The sequence below is a fragment of the Homo sapiens genome, chromosome 12, assembly GCF_000001405.40.
Source record: "Homo sapiens chromosome 12, GRCh38.p14 Primary Assembly".
Classification (NCBI taxonomy): domain Eukaryota; kingdom Metazoa; phylum Chordata; class Mammalia; order Primates; family Hominidae; genus Homo; species Homo sapiens.
Window position 1 is genome coordinate 6,818,606 of NC_000012.12, and position 22,156 is coordinate 6,840,761.

Below are 22,156 nucleotides of genomic sequence, written 5' to 3' on the forward strand. Positions count from 1 at the left end.
CCTGTATATGGGAACTGATTTTGGCCCAGCTCCCTCTGCCCACTCGTAAGTTCCCTTGCTGCCCTGTCCCAGATCCCACTCAAGGGAGAGACAGGAAGGAGCAGAGAGTTAATTCCAGGATAGATGGCCTGGGCCATGTAACTGCTTCTCCTGTCGCAGCTTCCCCCACTCCCCCCACCAAGGGGCACCTCCCTTCTGGAGGCCTGGGACCCTCGTGACTCCCTTTCTTGTCCCTGGACAGCGCCAAGCAGAGCGGATGTCTCAGATCAAGAGACTCCTCAGTGAGAAGAAGACCTGCCAGTGTCCTCAGTAAGGATCTGGGAGGAGGGGTTGAGAGAGGGGAAAGGGGGAGGGGGAGGGAGTTAGAGAGGAGGGGGAGGAAGGGGAGCAAAGGGGGGCAGGAAGGGAGGATGGAGAGGAGGAAGGAGTTGAGGAGGAAGAGCTGGGAGGGGTGGAGGTGAGGAGATGGGGGCTAAAGGGGTGTGGTGGAGAGGATAGAGGGGTGGGAAAAGATGGCCAGGAGCTAGAAGGAGGCAGAAGTGGGAGGATGGAGCTGAAGGAGCAGCAGGCCAGGAAAGGCCCTGCTGGAAAGCCACTGGAGCTGTGCTGCGCTGGAAAGGCCATTGGAGGTGCTAGAACGCAAAGGGGTTGCAGTGGGGACAGACCTGCTCCCCTTCTTCTTTGTTCCTGCAGCCGGTTTCAGAAGACATGTAGCCCCATTTGAGGCACGAGGCCAGGCAGATCCCACTTGCAGCCTCCCCAGGTGTCTGCCCCGCGTTTCCTGCCTGCGGACCAGATGAATGTAGCAGATCCCCAGCCTCTGGCCTCCTGTTCGCCTCCTCTACAATTTGCCATTGTTTCTCCTGGGTTAGGCCCCGGCTTCACTGGTTGAGTGTTGCTCTCTAGTTTCCAGAGGCTTAATCACACCGTCCTCCACGCCATTTCCTTTTCCTTCAAGCCTAGCCCTTCTCTCATTATTTCTCTCTGACCCTCTCCCCACTGCTCATTTGGATCCCAGGGGAGTGTTCAGGGCCAGCCCTGGCTGGCATGGAGGGTGAGGCTGGGTGTCTGGAAGCATGGAGCATGGGACTGTTCTTTTACAAGACAGGACCCTGGGACCACAGAGGGCAGGAACTTGCACAAAATCACACAGCCAAGCCAGTCAAGGATGGATGCAGATCCAGAGGTTTCTGGCAGCCAGTACCTCCTGCCCCATGCTGCCCGCTTCTCACCCTATGTGGGTGGGACCACAGACTCACATCCTGACCTTGCACAAACAGCCCCTCTGGACACAGCCCCATGTACACGGCCTCAAGGGATGTCTCACATCCTCTGTCTATTTGAGACTTAGAAAAATCCTACAAGGCTGGCAGTGACAGAACTAAGATGATCATCTCCAGTTTATAGACCAGAACCAGAGCTCAGAGAGGCTAGATGATTGATTACCAAGTGCCGGACTAGCAAGTGCTGGAGTCGGGACTAACCCAGGTCCCTTGTCCCAAGTTCCACTGCTGCCTCTTGAATGCAGGGACAAATGCCACACGGCTCTCACCAGTGGCTAGTGGTGGGTACTCAATGTGTACTTTTGGGTTCACAGAAGCACAGCACCCATGGGAAGGGTCCATCTCAGAGAATTTACGAGCAGGGATGAAGGCCTCCCTGTCTAAAATCCCTCCTTCATCCCCCGCTGGTGGCAGAATCTGTTACCAGAGGACAAAGCCTTTGGCTCTTCTAATCAGAGCGCAAGCTGGGAGCACAGGCACTGCAGGAGAGAATGCCCAGTGACCAGTCACTGACCCTGTGCAGAACCTCCTGGAAGCGAGCTTTGCTGGGAGAGGGGGTAGCTAGCCTGAGAGGGAACCCTCTAAGGGACCTCAAAGGTGATTGTGCCAGGCTCTGCGCCTGCCCCACACCCTCCCTTACCCTCCTCCAGACCATTCAGGACACAGGGAAATCAGGGTTACAAATCTTCTTGATCCACTTCTCTCAGGATCCCCTCTCTTCCTACCCTTCCTCACCACTTCCCTCAGTCCCAACTCCTTTTCCCTATTTCCTTCTCCTCCTGTCTTTAAAGCCTGCCTCTTCCAGGAAGACCCCCCTATTGCTGCTGGGGCTCCCCATTTGCTTACTTTGCATTTGTGCCCACTCTCCACCCCTGCTCCCCTGAGCTGAAATAAAAATACAATAAACTTACTATAAAGATGCTCTTCGTGTGTGTGTGTGTGTGTGTGTGTGTGTGTGTGTGTGTGTGAGAGAGAGAGAGAGAGAGAGACCCCTTCTCTGGGGACCAGGAATCTTCTGGTCTTTGGGGTCGGACCCAGAGGAGAGGTTGCTGGGCGTGCCCCAGGAAGGAGATGAAGTTTCCCTGGAGAGGGAAAAATTCTGTGGAGGCTGGCTACCCACCTCCACAACCCACAGGGCTCTGTGTGGGCCTGTGTGTGTGTGAGGCTGAGACTCTGTAATTACATGTGTGTGATATACCGTGGGGGAGAGACTCAGGGTTGTGTGAGCTCTCCTGGTGTATGTGTGTGGCAGAGAAAAAGGACTATGAGAAACTGTAACATGTGTGTGCAAATTGTATCCCCAACATATGTGTTTGTGTTCCAGGAGGAGGAGGCAGAGTGTGTGTGTCTGTGTGCATGCATGCGCCCACATCCTTTTAGCTTGTGCACAACCACCCCCAACTCCACAAGCAGCCCCAGTGTGCACCACAAGCCCCCTCACTCCCAAACCCAAGGCCCAGCCCTCACACAGATACACACAGTGACACACGCTTCCTCCTCCCCGAACAGCTAGCTCCTCAGTCCCCAACAACACCAGCTGCCTCTTGGAGCTTGTGTTCGTGTTGAAAACGGGAAGGGGTGGGGGCAGGACATGAACCATTTCACCAATGAAGCCGGTTCCCAGCCATCCTCCTCACCGCCCTCCCTCTCAGCGCCTTCCTTGCCCCTCCTCCCCGAGTCACCACCGTCCAGTTCCCCACCCTGCACTCGTTTCCCGCCCCCCCCCGCCCCCCACAAAGCTGTCCTGCCTTCCCTCTGGCCTGGGCTCACTGGCAGGACGACCCCGGGAGAGAGGGTCCTGGAGAGTGAGAGGGGCAGAGACCGAGTGAGCCGTGGGCTGAGCCTGGGAGGCCGGGACTGAGGGGGAGGAGGGAGGCCCGGGGGAAGGGAGGGAGGGAGAGAGGGAAGGAGGGAGGAGGGCGGGCGAGCTGGAGCCGGCAGGCAGCGGGAGCCCGAGAGAGCCGCGTCGGGAGTGCGGTCTCCATGGCAGTGCTGGGCGCAGCCGGAGAGAGGTAAGACGACCCCTGCCTGCCCCGTCCCCTGTGTTGCCTCCCTTTCCCCCTCAAGCTGCCTCCTCTCCCCTAGGCCGGCCCCTCCTCCCCAGCCACCTGCTGTTTCTGCCCTGGAGAACCTGGAGGGGGACAGGAGGGAGGAGCCGCCTGACCTTACCCCTTCACCCCAAAGGGCGAGGGACCCCGTCGGCCAGGGAACCTCCCAGATCCCCCTTCCCACCTTCCTCTGATCTCTCCCTGTCCTTCACCTCCCTCTCTCTGTCCTTCACATCTTTCCTGCCTCCTTCCCTCTCTGACTCCCTATCTCTTTCATCCTGAGCCCACCAGCTGGGCCTGGGTGGAGGTGGGTGGGAAGGGGTCCAGGGCTGTAGGAGAGGACACTGGGGGCTGCTCTTGGCCAAGTCCCTCCACCTCCCTCTGGCTGGCCATTGCCATGGCAACTAGGGTGTACTGGGCTCCGGAGGGAAGCCAAGGGTGGGGGTGGACCAGGACCTCTTGGGGAAAGCAAGGGTCTGAGCTGCTTCCATGGGAAACAGACCCTTTCACTGCTGTGCCCCATTTTTACCCCACTTACCCTAAAGCCATTATGTGCTTCCTTACAGCCCCACTCTGTTCAGGGTTTCACCCGATTCCCTTACCCCCCTTCCCAGGGCTCACTGAAGCTCAGCATCACGCACTAAAACTGGGACCATCCTTCCTCCCATGAGAGGGAAACTGAGGCTCTGGGCCAGGGAGGAAGAGTCAAGGTCTCCCCACGGGGAGTCAGCACCTTATTGAACATTTGGCTTTTCTTCTCAGCCTCCTATTCCCTGCTCCCTCCCTCCCTCCCTCCTCCAGTCCCTCCTCCCTCCAAAGCCTCCTCTCCAGGGGGTTTGAGCTTTTCCTGCTATTTTCAGATACTACCACTTTGCCCCCTCTTTCTCTTCTGCTCAAACTCTCCTCCTTCTCCCTAGTTCCCCCTCTTTCCATTTCTGGATGCTTCTGATGTCAGCGGTTTCCCCGCCTTCAGGTTCCCTAGCACCCCCTTCGGTCCCAGACTCCTTTCTCCCATTTTCCCAGATATGGGTAGCTGGAGGGTGATCACCCAGGTTTGGGGAAGTAGGGGCTAAGCACCAAGACCCCTGCATCCAGGAGACCGGCAGGTAGGGGAGGAAGGCTGTGATGCCATATCCCAGTTCACTGTGAACCCTCAAGAGGAAACCAGTCTTGTGTCTCCCATCAGTAGTTCTGAAGAGACATTTAGGGACTTGAAGATAGGGGTGGAGTAGTGCTGAGCAGGGGATGTTCTAAGAAGGAACCTGGGAGTTCCAGCGGGAGGAGGAAGGGCTAAAGGAGACAGGGAGGTGGGAATACCTTCTTCCCTAGAGGTCTGGAAGAGTGCGGCTCTCATCTGTGTGGGGTGTTTAGCTGTCAGAGTTAAGGCAAAGGAATGTTCTGAATGACCCTCAGGGCCTTAGTAATCAGTCATGCCTATAGTTTCAAGAAAGGGGGCACAGGAGGCTGATTGGAGACCAGCCCAGGCCCTACCTTTGCCCTCTCCCTCCCACATCTCATCTTTCCCTTGCAGCCTGTCCAGGGGGCTGAGCCCCACCCCCAAATCCCTGGGGCATCCAGAAGATTCCTGACTGGTCAAGAACCAGAGGCAAAAGAGACCTGGAAGTCCCAGCATGGGGACCAGAACCCCCCAGCCAGCCTCATAGTTGGGAAAGTAGCCAGCTTGCCTGCCCCATCAATTGCAGGGATGCTTAAGGAAGGCCCCGCCCAGTATGAAAGCTGAGGATTGCCTCTGCTGACCCTCAGTCTCCTCCCCTGCCCTCTACATCTGCCCTCAGCTGGGTCCATCATGCAATGCTGAGCACTGGGGTGAGCCTGGGGGCAGCCTGCCTGCTGACAGGGCGAGGATTGTGGGGATCATGGGAGTGTTTGTGAGTGGGGCTCCTGGGTGAGACCTAGCCCCCACCCCCACAGAGCTCAAGGGGGTGGGGGGCTGAGGATAGGATGGCTCGGGGCGGGGCGGGGGCAGAGGAGGCCTCCCTGCGCTCCAACGCATTGTCCTGGCTGGCCTGTGGGCTCCTGGCGCTGCTGGCCAATGCCTGGATCATCCTCAGCATCTCGGCCAAGCAGCAGAAGCACAAGCCACTGGAGCTGCTGCTCTGCTTCCTAGCGGGCACACACATACTCATGGCAGCTGTGCCCCTCACCACCTTTGCCGTGGTGCAGCTGCGTCGTCAGGCTTCCTCCGACTATGACTGGAACGAGAGTATCTGCAAGGTCTTCGTGTCCACCTACTACACCCTGGCGCTGGCCACCTGCTTCACGGTCGCCTCCCTCTCCTACCATCGCATGTGGATGGTGCGCTGGCCCGTCAACTACCGCCTCAGCAACGCCAAGAAGCAGGCACTGCATGCCGTCATGGGCATCTGGATGGTCAGCTTCATCCTCTCCACACTGCCCTCCATTGGCTGGCACAACAACGGCGAGCGCTACTATGCCCGCGGCTGCCAGTTCATAGTCTCCAAGATCGGCCTCGGCTTTGGCGTTTGCTTCAGCCTCTTGCTACTTGGGGGAATTGTCATGGGTCTGGTCTGTGTGGCCATCACCTTCTACCAGACACTGTGGGCCCGGCCCCGGAGGGCTCGGCAGGCCCGGAGAGTGGGGGGTGGTGGGGGGACCAAAGCGGGTGGGCCAGGGGCCTTGGGTACCCGGCCAGCTTTTGAGGTACCAGCCATTGTGGTGGAGGATGCCCGAGGGAAGCGGCGGTCCTCGCTGGATGGCTCGGAGTCTGCCAAGACATCCCTGCAGGTCACCAACTTGGTCAGCGCCATCGTCTTTCTCTATGACTCACTCACAGGGGTGCCCATCTTGGTGAGATCGGGGTCCTCCCCACCTGTTCTCCCCAATATCCAGGCCCCAGCATCATCACCTGACCTCCAACTTCATCAGCCATACAGCAGCTCCGTCATCTCTCCTCCAGTTCCATCATCCATCTTCCTCTCCTCTGTCCATCCCCCACTCCATTTGTGGCCCCCATCTTGATCATCTGTCTTTTAGTTCCCACTACCCTGTTTACCCCAGCTCCAGCATCTGCTTCAGTTCCCACTCCTCAGCTCCATCACCGTCCTTCAGTTCCACGACCTGTCCTCCAGCTCCGTCATCCATCCTGCAGCTCCACGGTTCAGCCGCAGACCTCTCATCCAGCCGCTGGGCTCCACTCTCCATTCCCTCCTTCCCTCGGGCTGCCACATGGTCTCTGAGCACTCTTGGCTGGAAATCCCACAGGGCTCACCCCACCACCCCATCTAGTCACTGTTCCTGGGTTCCTGTCTGTCTCTACGGTTCCTGGTCCACCTCTGTTCCTCTCCCTCCTGACCGCAGGGCTTTGTCTCCAGCACTCTCCCCGACCTTCCTCTGAGTCAGTCCCTTCCCTCTGTTCACTCCATCTCCACCTCCGGCTTCGCCTCTGTTGGAGCACAGGGATCAGGCATTACTTCTGACGTCTTGCCCACCAGCTGCACTAGGATATGGGGTTCAGGTGGGCTCCTCAGCTCTGGCCCTGACCCAGCCCGCTCCCACCCTTCCCCAGGTGGTGAGCTTCTTCTCCCTCAAGTCGGACTCGGCGCCCCCCTGGATGGTGCTGGCTGTGCTGTGGTGCTCCATGGCACAGACGCTGCTGCTGCCCTCCTTCATCTGGTCCTGCGAGCGCTACCGCGCCGACGTGCGCACAGTGTGGGAGCAATGCGTGGCCATCATGTCTGAGGAGGATGGAGATGACGGTCAGAGGAGGGGCTGGGCTTTGGCTTTCCTGGACATCTGTCTATTCCCTTTTCTGCCGCTCCTTCTCAGCCAGAGGATGGGCTGCCCTGGAGTGCCCCCTACTGGACAGAATCTGCACCACCCTGGGCTCCCCTTTCCCTAAGCAGGCACCCTGCTGTCCACTCACTGCTTCCCGCAGCACTCAGGGCTCCCTTCACTGGGCCTAGGCTCCCCTCCAGAAACCCACACTGCCCAGCTCTGGCACTATGGGGAACCTGAGCTTCCCGAGAGAGGCCCCCCAGCTATAGGGACGGCTCTTGGGGGAGTGCAGGCAATTGTTTCAATAACTTCATCTATATGTATGAAGCACTCCACTCAGGATTTAGCACTGAACGCAGCAAATGCTAGCCACTCTCACTGTCCTCTTGGAACATACATGCTAATGGGAACTAAAGGGGTCTCTGGGAGCTTATAAAGGCAGTGGTGGGAGGCCGCGGTAGGCATTCCCTACCTGTAACCACTCTGCCCATTTTCTCTCCTAGATGGGGGCTGTGACGACTATGCAGAGGGCCGAGTTTGCAAAGTTCGCTTTGATGCTAACGGAGCCACAGGACCAGGGAGCCGGGACCCCGCCCAGGTGAAGCTGCTGCCTGGAAGGCACATGCTCTTCCCTCCTCTTGAGAGAGTCCACTACTTACAGGTATGGAACTGGGGGATACATCTCCTACCCTTGGTGCCGCTCATCACTTTTCTCCAGTGTCTGTTAGGCACCCCAATCCCCTCTTCCCTAGCCCTGGCTTTCAGGGCACCATAGAGCTGGGTGAAAGAAAGCTATAGCAAGAGAGGCATCCCTTCAGACCTCGTGGGGCCAGGTTTGCCCACCGGAGCAAACGTTTTGAAGGTTAAGAAGGTGGCACCATCTTCCGGAGTCCCCACTTGGTTCCTGCCTCTGCCTCTGTCCCTGCAGCACCTTCAGGTCTTACCCGCTCCTCTTCCCAGGTCCCCCTATCCCGGCGTCTGTCCCATGATGAGACAAACATCTTCTCTACCCCTCGGGAACCAGGCTCCTTCCTGCACAAGTGGTCATCCTCTGATGACATCCGGGTCCTCCCAGCCCAGAGCCGGGCCCTCGGGGGTCCTCCTGAGTACCTGGGACAAAGACACAGGTTGGAGGACGAGGAGGACGAGGAAGAGGCTGAAGGTGGGGGGCTGGCCAGCCTTCGCCAATTCTTGGAGAGTGGGGTTCTGGGGTCAGGTGGGGGACCCCCACGGGGTCCTGGCTTCTTCCGGGAGGAGATCACCACCTTCATCGATGAGACACCTCTGCCTTCTCCGACTGCCTCACCAGGGCACTCTCCTCGTCGGCCCCGGCCACTGGGCCTCTCACCCCGCCGACTCTCCCTTGGGTCCCCTGAGAGCAGAGCCGTTGGACTTCCTTTGGGACTAAGCGCAGGGAGACGCTGCTCCCTGACGGGGGGTGAAGAAAGTGCAAGGGCTTGGGGAGGATCCTGGGGCCCAGGCAACCCCATCTTTCCCCAGCTGACCCTGTGAGCCCAAGCAGGCCTGCTGAACTCAGAGGAGAAAGCCTGAGTGAGTAACACCTCATTCTGGCCGAGAGTAGGGCAGCTGCCTCCAGACTCTGGGGAGACGGGCGCTAGATTTGGGGCTCAGAAGGCCCTGCTCTCTCCCATCCAAGTGACCAGATGCCCTACTCAGCTTCCATCACCCCTAGCAATATGTATTAAAGTCTGAAGTGTTGCCATGGAAACCTCAGTGTCCAGTGTACTGCGGTGGAAAGGGGCTTGGAGGGTGGAGTGGCTCACAGGGGACACGACAGAGCAGGGGCAGCAGACAGAGGCACAGAAGGACACATGGAGAAATGATCACATGCTCCACCAGGCAGCCTCGCACAGGGAAGGCTGGGAGGAGCATATCCTGCTGGGGGCGGGGCTTGAGGACACACATCTTCGTTGGTTGGGGTATGAAGGATCTCTGTTCAGATTTGTTGAGGTGGTTTTAGAGCGTGGCTCCAGCCCCAGTGCCCAACTCTCCTTCTAACCTCAAATCCATGCAGGGGCTCACTTTATGGGCAGGAAAGGTTTTGGGGCTGATGCAGTGTCCCGGGCCTGGACACCTCCTCCTTGCTGCATTTTAAAGCTCTTTCTCCAAAGGAGTGCAGGGGTGGATGAGTGTGTGTGTGGGCGGGGGTGGGAGTGCAGGGGTGGATGAGTGTGTGTGTGGGGGAGTGCAGGGGTGGATGAGTGTGTGGGGGGGGTGGGAGTGCAGGGGTGGATGAGTGTGGGGGGGTGGGAGTGCAGGGGTGGATGAGTGTGGGGGGGTGGGGGGGGGCGAGGGGGGGATCGGCGTCCACACTCCTTTTTCTGGACCCAGAAGCGTGTGTGTGGAGGGAACACAGCCCCAGTAGTTACCCCCAGACCTCAGGGGCTGAAGTCACCGCTGGGGCTGAAGTCATCCTTCATGGATGCCCAGGCCTGCTCCAGTTCCCGCCTTTTGCCCTCCTCCTCCCAGTTTCTCCCTCTTATTCCACACTAGACCAGCTTTGTCCACTCAGCACTCTTCTCTCTCCATCTTTTCACATGGGCCTCTCCCACCATCGGGTCTCAGCCCCATCTTCTCTCTCTCTCTCTCTCTCGGCCTCCCTCATTATTTCTCCCTCTCCCTCCGCCTCTCCATCTCTCCTTCCTCCCCCTCCCTCCCCTTCCCCCCTTTCCTCTCCCTCCCTCTCGGCTCCCGCATTTCCCCTCGGCTGCCGGCGGCTCCGACATCATGCTCCGGCTCCTCCGGCCGCTGCTGCTACTGCTGCTGCTGCCTCCCCCGGGGTCCCCTGAGCCCCCCGGCCTGACCCAGCTGTCCCCGGGGGCGCCCCCGCAGGCCCCCGACTTGCTCTACGCTGACGGGCTGCGCGCCTACGCGGCCGGGGCTTGGGCGCCGGCCGTGGCGCTGCTGCGGGAGGCGCTGCGGAGCCAGGCGGCGCTGGGCCGGGTGCGGCTGGATTGCGGGGCGAGCTGCGCGGCCGATCCGGGCGCCGCGCTCCCCGCCGTGCTTCTCGGGGCCCCGGAGCCCGACTCCGGGCCGGGACCCACGCAGGGGTCCTGGGAGCGACAGCTTCTCCGTGCAGCGCTCCGCCGCGCAGACTGCCTGACCCAGTGCGCAGCACGGAGGCTGGGCCCCGGGGGCGCGGCGCGGCTTCGCGTGGGGAGCGCGCTCCGGGACGCCTTCCGCCGTCGGGAGCCCTACAACTACCTGCAGAGGGCCTATTACCAGGTGGGGAGCGGGCCGGGCAGCTCCGAGGGTCCCAGCCCTCACCACGACGCTGTCCTACTTTGCGTTGCCCAGGAGTAGGCGGAATGCTGTTGCCCGGGCCCCGCACGGGGCTGGGGAGCGTACCGCGGGCCTCTGCGTAGGAGCTGGCTAAGCGACCGCGAGGACCTCTTGAGATCGCAGAGGAGCAGCCGAGGGGGAGTGCGAGCAGAATGGGAATGGGGCGGGGAGGTCGTGAGGTGGGACGGGAGCAGATCGAAGATGGAGGGACAGGGCCGCCTCTTCCTAGGAATGAAGCGGAGGCGGTGGGGGCGAAACCGGCTCTCGGACGGGAAGTGTGCGTGGGTGTGTGTGTGTGTCGGGGGTGGTGGTGAGTGTGAACCTTCGCTTGGGGCAGGAGGTAGCTTCGGAAAGGAAGGAGCAGACGGAGGCAAGGTTGGGGTCCTCCGAGGCCAGACCTCTGCGGGCGGGGAGGGGACAGCACGCCGCAGCCGCCGGTACCGCAGCAGTTGCCTACGTGGCTGGGGAAGCGGGGCGCCGGTTGTACTCACCTCAGCTCAGGGTCCTAGAGACCTGCGGGTTTTGCTGGTCGCTGAGGTCTCCCCCACTTCCCCACCTCACTTAAGCCATCACTTCCACCTGGTCTCCCAAATTGAGGTCCTGAAGTCCTGAGACCCATGTCCCACCCAACTCCGACGTCTTTAGATCCCCTTTCCCTCGGTGCCAGCCTTCTGAGAGTCCCAACGTTCTGGCCTCTAGGGGATCTGCAGTTCGGGCGGTGGGCGGTTCTGATTGGCCAGTCTTCCATGAGGCTCTGGGGCACCCAGAGTGTGTGTCTGGGGTAGGGTGGGGAGGCTGGCCAGGGGGCAGAGGTCTGCCCCCCGTCCCAGGGCTCTGATGCCCTCCTCCCTTCGCCTCCTCAGTTGAAGAAGCTGGATCTGGCAGCTGCGGCAGCACACACCTTCTTTGTAGCAAACCCCATGCACCTGCAGATGCGGGAGGACATGGCTAAGTACAGACGAATGTCGGGAGTTCGGCCCCAGAGCTTCCGGGACCTGGAGACGCCCCCACACTGGGTGAGAATCCCAGCACCACCCCTGTCTTGCCACCAGCCTTTTCCTGGCTGGATACACAGGCCTCACTAAACTGTGCGTTGTGCTGCTTGAGCATACAGATGGGGTAATGATCCTCAGCGACCCTGGCTGGGAGTCCTTCTCTAGGACTTCGTTTCCTTCCTGGATGATCACTGAAATCTGATGTTCTAACATTATGATTCTGAGGCCCACCCTTATTCTTCTCCACGGTGAAGAGGGACATGGAGTCCTTGCCCCAAATGAGACCAACACCCCTCTCCTCTCTACCTCCCAGTTTGGCAACCCCTGGATCTTAGGTGACTGACTGCTCCCTTCCCCAACAGGCAGCCTATGACACTGGCCTGGAGCTACTGGGGCGCCAGGAGGCAGGACTGGCACTGCCCAGGCTAGAGGAGGCTCTTCAGGGGAGCCTGGCCCAGATGGAGAGCTGCCGTGCTGACTGTGAGGGGCCTGAGGAGCAGCAGGGGGCTGAAGAAGAGGAGGATGGGGCTGCGAGCCAGGGGGGCCTCTATGAGGCCATTGCAGGTAAGGGTCCCGTGTGTGAGGGGGTGGGTCGGTGCCCAGGGAGGGGCATGAACAAGCTGAATGGCTTATGGGTTTCCTCTGCAGGACACTGGATTCAGGTCCTGCAGTGCCGGCAACGCTGTGTGGGGGAAACAGCCACACGCCCTGGTCGCAGCTTCCCTGTCCCAGACTTCCTTCCCAACCAGCTGAGGCGGCTACATGAGGCCCATGCTCAGGGTCAGTTGGGGAAGGGTGGAAACGGGGAGTGAAGATTTGCCTCTGCTGCTATCCTGAGCTCCATCTCTCTATCCCTCCCATCTGTCTCTGGATTTGTAGTTTCACTGTCAGGGCTGCATGGGAACCATCACTTCACAAGGACTCTAATTTGCCCTCCTTTGGCGCCTGTGACAAGCTCAGGAGATGGGCTTCCTTCTGCCTTGCTGCTTCTCACCTTCCTTTATTTTCCCCCCTCTTGCTCTTCTTTGAACTCTCCAGCTAAGGTATGTTTGCACCAGTGTTTGAAAGAACCGGCAGCTGAACTTGTCTGCCAGTGGGAAGGGGGCTCTTGGAGTTAGCTGTCTGGCCTCTGGAGACCACCTTCTCCAGCACTGCCTCTGCCCCAAGGATCAATGTGCTCTAAGTATTCATCCCCCAACCCCTGACCTTGTCGCTCCCTCTCCAGTGGGCAATCTGTCCCAGGCTATAGAAAATGTCCTGAGTGTCCTGCTCTTCTACCCGGAGGATGAGGCTGCCAAGAGGGCTCTGAACCAGTACCAGGCCCAGCTGGGAGAGCCGAGACCTGGCCTCGGACCCAGAGAGGTAATCCCCTCTCCACGCTCACCTGGGAGGTAGCCCCAAATCAAACAAATAGACCTGAGAAGTAACCTGGACCCCCACCCCCCGCTGGCCTCTTACCCGAGCACTCTAGTCACCCAAAGGACTCCAAGTCCAGCATCTGACTTCCGTCTCCACTCCCTGCTCCCCACGGCAGCCTGGAGTTCCGATTCCAGCCCTCAGCCCCGTCTCTCTTGCCTTTACTTCACTCCTGCCTGCCACCAGCCCCCAAACTCATGCATACACACACCCACACACTCACACACACTCCCACCCCCTACACCCTTTCCAGTTTAAGTCCAGATGCTCTGAAGCTGCTGAGGGGGAACGTTGAACAGAGGAACCGGGGGGCATGGTGCCAGGTTCAAGGAGCATGGAGCACCCAGGCAGTGCCCTAGAGCCGGCGCTTCCCTGCCTTCCTCCAGCTACCCCTCACTGCTCATCATCTCACCCTCAGGACATCCAGCGCTTCATCCTCCGATCCCTGGGGGAGAAGAGGCAGCTCTACTATGCCATGGAGCACCTGGGGACCAGCTTCAAGGATCCTGTGAGTCACTCCACTTCTGCCCATCTCACCCCTCCGCACTCCCAGGAGGGATGGCACTTTGGTTTGCAACAGAGTTTTCCATTTTTCCACCATGAGGCTTGGAGAAGAGTCTGCCATCCCAGTTTTACAGGGACGGAGACAGTGTGCCTGTAGTTAGGGCGGCTTTGGGGTCACGCAGGCCTAAATGTCAGTCCTCCTCTGCCCCAAACATCTCTGAACTTCAACTTGCCTCTGCCTCAATTTCCTTACCTGTAAGTTGGAATAATCACATCTGTTTCACAGGGCTGTTGAAACCACATCATTTGATAACAAAATATAGAAAGCTCTGTTACTGCTGCTTTTATTTCTCTTCTTGTAGTTATGAGAGGAAACTGCGGGGCGGAGGTTATCTATGGCTAGGACTAGGGCATCAAGCAGGCGTTCTCAGTCTTCCTGGCGCTACTGATATTTTGGATCTGACATTTTGGATAATTCTTTGTTGGGGCAGAGGGCAGGGCCTGTCCTATGCCTTGGAGGGTGTTCAGCAGCTTCCCTGGTCTCTACCCAGTAGAGATCAATAGCACATTGACAGCCCCTGAGTCATGGCAATCAATGTTTCCACACTTTGCCTAATGACCCCTGGGGGCAGAAGTGTCCTGCTTGAGAACGACTGGCTAAATGTGTGAACTCTGAAGCTAGTTTTTTTTATTTTTATTTTTATTTTTGGAGACAGAGTCTCACTCTGTCACCCAGGCTGGAGGGCAATGGTGCGATCTTGGCTCACTGCAACCTCCACCTCCCAGGTTCAAGCGATTCTTCTGCCTCAGCCTCCTGAGTAGCTGGGATTACAGGTGCCCGCCATCTTGCCTGGCTAATTTTTGTATTTTTAGTAGAGATGGGGTTTCACCATGTTGGCCAGGCTGGTCTTGAACTCCTGACTTCAGGTGATCCACCCGCCTCGGACCCCCAAAGATGCTGGGATTACAGGCGTGAGCCACCGGAACCCGGCCTGCAGCTAGTTTAAAACCTAACGCTGCTTTGGGAGGCCGAGGCAGGTGGATCACCAGATCAGGAGTTCAAGACCAGCCTGGCCAACATAGTGAAACCCTGTCTCTACTAAAAATACAAAAAATTAGCTGGGCGTGGTGGCGGGCGCCTATAATCCCAGCTACCTGGGATGCTGAGGCAGGAGAATCGCTTGAACCCAGGAGGCGGAGGTTGCAGTGAGCTGAGATCGCGCCATAGCACTCCAGCCTGGGCGACAGTGTGAGACTCCGTCTCAAAAAAACAAAAAACAAAAAACAACAACAAAAAACAACTAACCCTGTCATTTGTAGCTGTGTGATCTTGAGCATGTTACTTTACTTCTCTGTGTCTCAGGGCTCTCAATTACAAAATGAGCACTTTAATATTCTGTTTCATGAGACTGTTGTGAACTTTAAAGGATAAATTCCATTTCCATGAATAAAGCTCTTAGAATAGCCCCTAGCAGATAGTAAGTGCTATATGAGTTATAGTTGTACTTGTTGTTACAGTTTGATCCACTGCCCAGGGCTCCTGACATTGAGTCCCGGGCTTTTCCTACCTCCGTCTTCCTCTCTGGAAACAGAAGAAACTTAATGAGATATTTCAGCTCTAATGTCAGGGATTCCAGGGGCTGACCTTGGTGGGTGATGATGCTTTTCTGGACTGTCGCAGGACCCCTGGACCCCTGCAGCTCTCATCCCTGAGGCACTTAGAGAAAAGCTCAGGTAGGATATGCCCCATGGTGGGAGGGGCTTGGCCCGAGCTGGGAGGCTGGGTCTGGACTGTCCTGGGCACCCACTGAGCGCATCTCTCACCCCTGAGAGAGGATCAAGAGAAGAGGCCTTGGGACCATGAGCCCGTGAAGCCAAAGCCCTTGACCTACTGGAAGGGTGAGTTCCTGGGAGGGAGAAGGCAGGAGCCTGGAGGGTCTGGGGGCTGCCAGCTACTGCTCTGCCTGCCCTTAGGGGATGCTCAGCCCCCTCTGCTCTGTCTTTTCCCTGGCAGATGTCCTTCTCCTGGAGGGTGTGACCTTGACCCAGGATTCCAGGCAGCTGAATGGGTCGGAGCGGGCGGTGTTGGATGGGCTGCTCACCCCAGCCGAGTGTGGGGTGCTGCTGCAGCTGGCTAAGGTAGGAAGACCTGCAAGCTCATCAGCTCGTTCAAGACTCTTGGATACAATCACCTGTTCCCTTGCTCTTGGCCTGCCCCCTTCATTCTGCCTGTCCTGATTATCCAACCGGGACTGTGCTTACCACTGCCTCTCAGCTGTGGATAAGTTCCGTCTCGTCTTAATTTAGCTGACATAGGTGGATGTTCTTTACAAATGAATTTTGCTAGAAATTGATAGGAAGAACAAAACAAAAAACATGAAGGCATAAAAATGGATGAGTGTGCAGGTAAGGATTGCTTGGTTAGCCAAGAGTTTAGTTACTGGCTTGGCTGATGGCTCAGCAGACACGCAGGCCTTTCTTTCCCTCCTAGTTTAGGTTGAATGACTCATACTCACCAGGTTGAGGCTACCATTTTATGAAGCTTCAACCCTTATCTTAGGTTAGTGCTCATTCAGTAATATACTCACTGAGTAGCTGCTATACACTAGAAACTGCTAGGTTCTAGGGAGAGGAAGATGATTATAGACTCTGCCCTTTGGGAGCTCAAGTGTAGAGGTGGAAACAGACAAGGAAATACATAATATAAGCAGGTGGTAAGTTTGGTAAAAGAAGTATGTTTTTGGGCTGGGTATGGTGGCTCATGCCTGTAATCCCAGCAATTTGGGAGGCCGAGGTGGGTGGATCACCTGAGGCTGGGAGTTCGAGACCAGCCTGACCAACATGGAGAAACCCTGTCTCTAATAAAAATACAAAAAAGTTAGCCAGGCGTGGTGGCACATGCCTGTAATCCCAGGTACTCGGGAGGCTGAGGCAGGAGAAGCGCCTGAACCCGGGAGGCGGAGGTTGTGGTGAGCTGATCTCGTGCCATTGCACTCCAGCGTGGGCAACAAGAGCGAAACTCCATCTCAAAAAAAAAAAAAAAAAGTATGTCAAATAGAAGCACTGAAATGCAGTTATAGAAGGCTTGCTGGAGAGGTGGTATTTGAGCTCAGTCTTAAGGATGAGTTAGTCAGGCGATTGGGGGTGGAATCAGTCTAAGAGGGAGAAGAGCATGGTGCATTCTGGGAACTGCAGTCAAGCACAGGGGTGAGAGCAGGGCCAGCTCCATAGTCATTACCTGTGTGATCTTGGGCAATTTATTTTAACATCTCTGAGCCTAATTTGCTCATCTATAAAATGAGGATAATAATAGTGTTTTTGTCATAGTGTCGTTGTGAGGATTAAATGAGTTAGCACATGATAAAGCTCTTAGAACACAGAATCATCACTGGCTGGGTGTGGTGGCTCATGCCTGTAATCCCAGCACTTTAGGAGGTCAAGGCAGGTGGATCACTTGAGGTCAGGAGTTCAAGACCAGCCTGGCCAACATGGTGAAACCCGGTCTTTACTAAAAATACAAAAAAATTAGTGGGCATTGTGGCAGGTGCCAGTAATCCCAACTACTGGGGAGGCTGAGGCAGGAGAATCGCTTGGACCCAGGAGGCGGAGGTCGCAGTGAGCCGAGATCGCACCATTGCAGTCCAGCCTGGGCAACAAGATCAAAACTCCGCCTCGAAAAATAAATTTTTTTAAATAATTAATTAATTAATTAATTAATTAAAAAAGAACATAGAATCATCAGGGTGTATGTTACCAAGAGACAGTATAGGGAAAGAGGGAGAGAGCCCACACATGAAGGCCGAGGGACAGTGAGTGTCTTCTGTGGCCTCCCAAGGAGTTTGGGCTTTATCTGTGTATGGTAGACAGCTGTTGCAGGATTTTAGGACGGTTGACTTTTGCATTCCTGTAGTACCTGGAATCAGGTGCAGGGTCTGGAGTCACCTGTAGGAGTGGTAGAGCCCTCTAGTGGCAGTCTGTAGAATGCAGTGGGAGAAAGACCCGGAAAAGGGGAGTAATTGACGAATGCCACCGTTGGCTGGCGAGGTGGCTCACACCTGTAATCCCAGCACTTTGGGAGGCTGAGGCAGGCGAATGGCTTGAGCCCAGGAGTTCCAGGCCAGCCTGAGCAACGTGGTAAAACCCCGTCTCTACAAAAATACAAAAAATTAGCTGGGCCTATGCGCCTATATGTTCCCACCTACTTGGGAGGCTGAGGTGGGAGGACCTCTGGAGCCTGGGAGGTGGAGATTGCAGTGAGCTATGATGGCGCCACTGCACTCCAGCCTGGGCGATAGAGCAAGACCCCGTCTCAAAAACAAAAAATGAAAAAAAAAAAAAACCCCAGGTTAGACGGCTTGGGTGACTAGGTGTCTCTCAGAAGTGAGATTTGTATGCAGGCGTAACTAGATAGTGGTGCTTAAACAAATTCAAAAAGTAGACAAAAAACGGGTGTCAGAAAAGCGAATAATTCCAGTGTAGACATCCAGATATTAGGAGACCCCCAGGTAGTGAGAGTGGTCGCGGAGGTGGCTGGGTAGTTGTGACTCAGTATCAAGGAGTGGGGGAGCCACGGAGTCCACAGTTTCTCCGAGAGCATGTCAGGTGGGAAGAGGTCAGAGAGGGATAGCCCGCTGATGCTGTCTCCCTACCGCCAGTCTGGCCTAACTGTGGAACTTCCTCTTAGGGTCCTGTTTCCAGAGGGACTCCTCTATTCTTGGCTCATCGGGGATTAATGATCAAGCCCTTCCTGCCTAGTTCCCAGCTCTGCCCCACTTTTCCAGCTGTCCCTACCCTCTCAGAGGCCCCCTTACTGCTGTAGGAAGCTCTCCCGAGTTCTCTCCACAGTCCCCTTAGTAAGCGGGATTCCAGCCCGTACCAGAGAGGGACAATCGGACAGCCGTGGCGGTGGGCACTCTCTGGGAAAGAGCAGCAGCTCAGGAAGACGAGCCACAACAGAACTGTGGGAGCATCTAGCTTCTTCTGGAGAGCGGGAGGGCCGGAGGGAGGGTCTTGCAGCCCTGCAGACAGTGAGGGGCTGGGGGAGTGACTCCACGGTAAACTCCTTCCTATTTAGGATGCAGCTGGGGCTGGAGCCAGGTCTGGCTATCGTGGTCGCCGCTCCCCTCACACCCCCCATGAACGCTTCGAGGGGCTCACGGTGCTTAAGGCTGCGCAGGTGAGCACAGGAGGCACCCGGGCCCGTCTGATGCCCAGACCTGGAGGAGAGGCTGTGCAGGAAGCCGGGCCCCAGGGCCTGGGCTTTTGTGAAGGAGCTTTCTTGGGACCGAGACTACCTGATAGGACCCAGCGTGGAGAAAAGGGATGTTCTGAGAGCTGGGGCCGGGGTTGTTGTCATGGAGAGAGAAGGAGCAGTTTGGGCTGATGGACAGAGCTGGATGCTGACAGACTCCAAACCCATGGGTGGAGAGCGGCAGAGTTGGGCAGGGGCTAGGGCCGAGACCACCCTCCCCTTGCCTTCCTCCTTTTCTGCCCTGCCTTTCACTGCCTGCAGCTGGCCCGGGCTGGGACAGTGGGCAGTCAGGGTGCTAAGCTGCTTCTGGAGGTGAGCGAGCGGGTGCGGACCTTGACCCAGGCCTACTTCTCCCCGGAACGGCCCCTGCATCTGTCCTTCACCCACCTGGTGTGCCGCAGCGCCATAGAAGGTACGACAGGGACCCCCCACTGCTCTTCTCCAACCTCAGGCCCTGCCCCCAGGACACTGCCCCCAAGAGCCCCGGGGTGGACGTGCACGGCCTGAGCCCACAGGGTGGCAGATGGGCACAGGGGCACAGAGGTACCCCCAGACCCCTTTGTGTCCTAGGAGAGCAAGAGCAGCGCATGGACCTGAGTCACCCAGTGCACGCAGACAACTGCGTCCTGGACCCTGACACGGGAGAGTGCTGGCGGGAGCCCCCAGCCTACACCTATCGGGACTACAGGTGGGCAGCCCCTCTAGTGGTCAGGCAGGTGGGCAGACAAAGGTCATCCCACTGCCGGCCTGGGCCTGGGTTGGGGTCTCACTGCCTCTTGCTTTTTTCCCTCCCCAGCGGACTCCTCTACCTCAACGATGACTTCCAGGGTGGGGACCTGTTCTTCACGGAGCCCAACGCCCTCACTGTCACGGTGCGTGGAGTGGGGGGTGTGACGGTGTGACAAAGGGCCCAGCTGTGGGGTCAGGATTCAAAACAGAAGGCTCCAGAGGCAAATGCAGGGAAATGGCCAGGGCTTTTAACCCTTTCACTTCCCCGCCTCCGCAGCCCTCCCGCTGCTTCCTCCGTAGCAAGGTCTCTAAGTGGCCGAATCAACCCTACCATCAGTATTTGTCTCGCCTCCTAAAGAAGGGTGAATGAAGCACAGCTTGCAGGTGCCTCCAGGACTCCATGGCCCTATTCTAGGGATTTGGGGAACTTGAAATAGTCCTTCCTCTTTGCAGCGAGGTGAGCACAGTGGCTGGCGCACAGATACCAGGGCCGCCTTGACTGGGGCTCGGATTCTGAACCTTTCTGAGGTTTAGTTTCCTAGACTGGGGTGATAATAATAGTACGTATTTTAAAGGGTCATTGTAGGAAGTAATTTAGGTAATGTACCTAAAAGAATGAGGCAGCGCCTGGTAATGATAAGCAATTAATGAATGTTAGGTGGGAAATTTCCGGACACCAGGGGCTAGGATTGGGTAGGAGGAGAGGGGCAGTGATTGTTCATCTGGGTGTGGGGTGTGAAAATGGTTCCAATATCTGTATCCCCTTCTGCATAGAGTCTGGTACTGCATGCACAGCCCCAGATTGCTTCAAGCCCTGGATTCAAAGGGCTGAGTGGGAAAAATCAGGGTACCAGGGGTCAGGAACCAACAGGAGACCATCCGTGGAGACCCCTTTTTCCTTTGGTTCCCAACTCCTCTTGCATTTTTGCTCTGCAAGTTGAAGCTGATTTCTCATTTGCCCCAAGCTAGTCCCTGAATTAAGGAGTAGGAAGTGGTAGCGAGAGAGCTGATCCTCTCTGTGCCCCTGTCCCCATCCTGCTCTAGGGAGTGAGGGCCAAGTTCTCTGAGAGAGCCAATCCCTGGAGCTGAACCTGCCCTCATCCCTCCAGGCTCGGGTGCGTCCTCGCTGTGGGCGCCTTGTGGCCTTCAGCTCCGGTGTCGAGAATCCCCATGGGGTGTGGGCCGTGACTCGGGGACGGCGCTGTGCCCTGGCACTGTGGCACACGTGGGCACCTGAGCACAGGGAGCAGGTAAGGAGCGGGGTAGGAAGGGATGTGGTTCTCCTGGTGCGTGAAGGGTGGGCAAGGAGCCCCCGAGAAGGCTCACAGTCGGTGAGGGTCAGGGGCTGAGCTGACCCAGGGAAGGTGGGTGCAGGGAATGGGCCACACTCTCCTCCCCAACCCCAGGAGTGGATAGAAGCCAAAGAACTGCTGCAGGAGTCACAGGAGGAGGAGGAAGAGGAAGAGGAAGAAATGCCCAGCAAAGACCCTTCCCCAGAGCCCCCTAGCCGCAGGCACCAGAGGGTCCAAGACAAGACTGGAAGGGCACCTCGGGTTCGGGAGGAGCTGTGAGTGGCTGAGCCAGCTCCTTGAGGATGTGGCCACTTGACTTGTGGAAGGCCATCTTGATGCCAGGACACACAGGAAGCCCCTGTGTGACATCAGGAGCAGAACAGCAAGCTCTCTGTCCCTGCACCCCCACCATCTTGGGGACCTACAAGGGCCTGGACTCAGAGGACAGTGCACAGGCTAGCCTGGAGCTCACCAGGCCTGGGGAGCTGGGACGGGGCCCCGCTGCCGGACCTGCAGCCCTGGACAGATGGGGAACACTGTGCCTCCCTGAACAGAAATGGCAGGGGAGGAGGCTGATGCTTTAAATGAAGAGGATGGTGGGGTTGGGAGGTATAACCCTGCTCCTCTCTCCCAGTCTGTGCAATAAAGGTCGTGAAGATCTCTCAGCCAGGGGCCAGTCAAGTGTATCACAGATTCTGTGATGGCTGGAGGTGGGGGTGGCTCTGGCTGGCCTGGGAGGAGACAGGTGTCTTTGGGCCTCCCAGAGGCGGGGCGCCTGGAGCCTGTGATTTGTCAGGGAAATCTCAGCCACCTGCTCCCCTCATGCAAATGACCCAAGCCCCTGGCAGCTGCTCCTTAGGCCTCCAAGTGTAAGCCCTGTCTTCCCTCTCTGAGCTTTGCTGAGACTTAGGGCCGCCTGCTTTCTCTCTGACCCCTGCTTTCACAGCCTCGAGAGGGCAAGGAGGGGGCCAGACCCCAGCCTGGGAGCAGCGTGCGGGCCTTCCCTCCACTTGAAATCCGTTGCCCGCCCACAATAGGGGCAGACCTGTCCATCCTTCTCTGTGGGTCCCCTGTACCTTTCTCCCCCAACAGGATCAGACCCAGAGGCAGCTGGTTGGGGTTTGTCGAGAAGAAGGATTATCCAGATCAGTCCTTTCTAATCTCAGCTCCTGCCTGTACCCTCCCATACTCACCAAACCCTCTTCCCCACCACCCTGAGCTGAGGAGCACAGTTTGAGGTACTGACAATGGGGCCATCTATCACCCTTATATCCCACCTCCTGGCCTGGTTGCTAAGTGGCCCTGACTGCCAAGATCATCACCATGGATGGGGGCCGGGACCAGGGGGGCCACTGGAGCTGTAGTTGTCTGCTCCTTTGCACCCCTCCCAAACCCCAACCCTTAATCCTCACAGCTTTGCTCTAATCCTGTGGGGCCTGATGCTCTTATCTCTGCCTGCAGAGACTGACCAGGGAAGCACCCCTTCACCCCCTCCTCTCTCAGGGCTTGTGGTGGGGGCTGCCCCTCTCTATGGCCCCACACTCCTGCCCCCAACCCTCCTCCCGGCTGGGCCCAAGTC

General features: G+C 57.5%; 3 protein-coding genes across 12 annotated transcripts in view, besides 9 other annotated features; all 3 read left to right on the forward strand.

The window, feature by feature from the left end:
- CD4 (CD4 molecule) overlaps nucleotides 1-2,194 on the forward strand; it is a 31,272-nt gene extending 29,078 nt beyond the window's left edge. For all 9 annotated transcript variants that reach the window (NM_001382707.1, NM_001382706.1, NM_000616.5 and 6 more), the window contains 2 exons: nucleotides 242-309; nucleotides 694-2,194. In NM_001382707.1, the coding sequence (NP_001369636.1) occupies nucleotides 242-309; nucleotides 694-724 (99 nt within the window). In that variant the 3' untranslated portion in view covers nucleotides 725-2,194. The remainder of the gene's footprint in view (nucleotides 1-241; nucleotides 310-693) is intronic.
- Nucleotides 255-755: an enhancer, noted in NCBI's record as "H3K4me1 hESC enhancer chr12:6928026-6928526 (GRCh37/hg19 assembly coordinates)". NCBI's record gives its function as "activates a minimal SCP1, AML or CMV promoter by ChIP-STARR-seq in primed H9 embryonic stem cells {active_cell/tissue: H9 hESC(primed)}" and the evidence as "EXISTENCE:reporter gene assay evidence [ECO:0000049][PMID:30033119]".
- Nucleotides 756-1,256: an enhancer, noted in NCBI's record as "H3K4me1 hESC enhancer chr12:6928527-6929027 (GRCh37/hg19 assembly coordinates)". NCBI's record gives its function as "activates a minimal SCP1, AML or CMV promoter by ChIP-STARR-seq in primed H9 embryonic stem cells {active_cell/tissue: H9 hESC(primed)}" and the evidence as "EXISTENCE:reporter gene assay evidence [ECO:0000049][PMID:30033119]".
- Nucleotides 2,227-3,199: an enhancer, noted in NCBI's record as "H3K4me1 hESC enhancer chr12:6929998-6930970 (GRCh37/hg19 assembly coordinates)". NCBI's record gives its function as "activates a minimal SCP1, AML or CMV promoter by ChIP-STARR-seq in primed H9 embryonic stem cells {active_cell/tissue: H9 hESC(primed)}" and the evidence as "EXISTENCE:reporter gene assay evidence [ECO:0000049][PMID:30033119]".
- GPR162 (G protein-coupled receptor 162) lies at nucleotides 3,216-8,816 on the forward strand. 2 transcript variants are annotated; one of them, NM_019858.2, is made up of 5 exons: nucleotides 3,216-3,295; nucleotides 4,863-6,160; nucleotides 6,879-7,068; nucleotides 7,591-7,748; nucleotides 8,048-8,816. In NM_019858.2, the coding sequence occupies exons 2-5, from the start codon at nucleotides 5,294-5,296 to the stop codon at nucleotides 8,597-8,599; spliced, it is 1,767 nt and encodes a 588-aa protein (NP_062832.1). In that variant the 5' UTR covers nucleotides 3,216-3,295; nucleotides 4,863-5,293; the 3' UTR covers nucleotides 8,600-8,816. The 2 variants fall into 2 exon arrangements, with proteins under 2 accessions (NP_062832.1, NP_055264.1); NM_014449.2 differs by having other exon boundaries at nucleotides 4,863-5,158.
- Nucleotides 8,459-9,027: an enhancer, noted in NCBI's record as "H3K4me1 hESC enhancer chr12:6936229-6936797 (GRCh37/hg19 assembly coordinates)". NCBI's record gives its function as "activates a minimal SCP1, AML or CMV promoter by ChIP-STARR-seq in naive H9 embryonic stem cells {active_cell/tissue: H9 hESC(naive)}" and the evidence as "EXISTENCE:reporter gene assay evidence [ECO:0000049][PMID:30033119]".
- Nucleotides 9,802-21,242, forward strand: P3H3 (prolyl 3-hydroxylase 3). Its single transcript, NM_014262.5, has 15 exons — nucleotides 9,802-10,333; nucleotides 11,254-11,406; nucleotides 11,748-11,949; nucleotides 12,034-12,165; nucleotides 12,611-12,747; nucleotides 13,220-13,309; nucleotides 14,987-15,039; nucleotides 15,137-15,204; nucleotides 15,320-15,444; nucleotides 18,380-18,481; nucleotides 18,818-18,968; nucleotides 19,127-19,244; nucleotides 19,353-19,428; nucleotides 20,395-20,535; nucleotides 20,692-21,242. The coding sequence occupies exons 1-15, from the start codon at nucleotides 9,836-9,838 to the stop codon at nucleotides 20,854-20,856; spliced, it is 2,211 nt and encodes a 736-aa protein (NP_055077.2). The 5' UTR covers nucleotides 9,802-9,835; the 3' UTR covers nucleotides 20,857-21,242.
- Nucleotides 10,165-10,274: a silencer, noted in NCBI's record as "silent region_4183". NCBI's record gives its function as "represses an Ori minimal core promoter by ATAC-STARR-seq in GM12878 lymphoblastoid cells {active_cell/tissue: GM12878}" and the evidence as "EXISTENCE:reporter gene assay evidence [ECO:0000049][PMID:35858748]".
- Nucleotides 10,165-10,686: a biological region, named in NCBI's record as "H3K27ac hESC enhancer GRCh37_chr12:6937955-6938455".
- Nucleotides 10,185-10,686: an enhancer, noted in NCBI's record as "H3K27ac hESC enhancer chr12:6937955-6938455 (GRCh37/hg19 assembly coordinates)". NCBI's record gives its function as "activates a minimal SCP1, AML or CMV promoter by ChIP-STARR-seq in primed H9 embryonic stem cells {active_cell/tissue: H9 hESC(primed)}" and the evidence as "EXISTENCE:reporter gene assay evidence [ECO:0000049][PMID:30033119]".
- Nucleotides 10,425-10,484: an enhancer, noted in NCBI's record as "active region_5884". NCBI's record gives its function as "activates an Ori minimal core promoter by ATAC-STARR-seq in GM12878 lymphoblastoid cells {active_cell/tissue: GM12878}" and the evidence as "EXISTENCE:reporter gene assay evidence [ECO:0000049][PMID:35858748]".
- Nucleotides 10,734-11,269: an enhancer, noted in NCBI's record as "H3K4me1 hESC enhancer chr12:6938503-6939038 (GRCh37/hg19 assembly coordinates)". NCBI's record gives its function as "activates a minimal SCP1, AML or CMV promoter by ChIP-STARR-seq in primed H9 embryonic stem cells {active_cell/tissue: H9 hESC(primed)}" and the evidence as "EXISTENCE:reporter gene assay evidence [ECO:0000049][PMID:30033119]".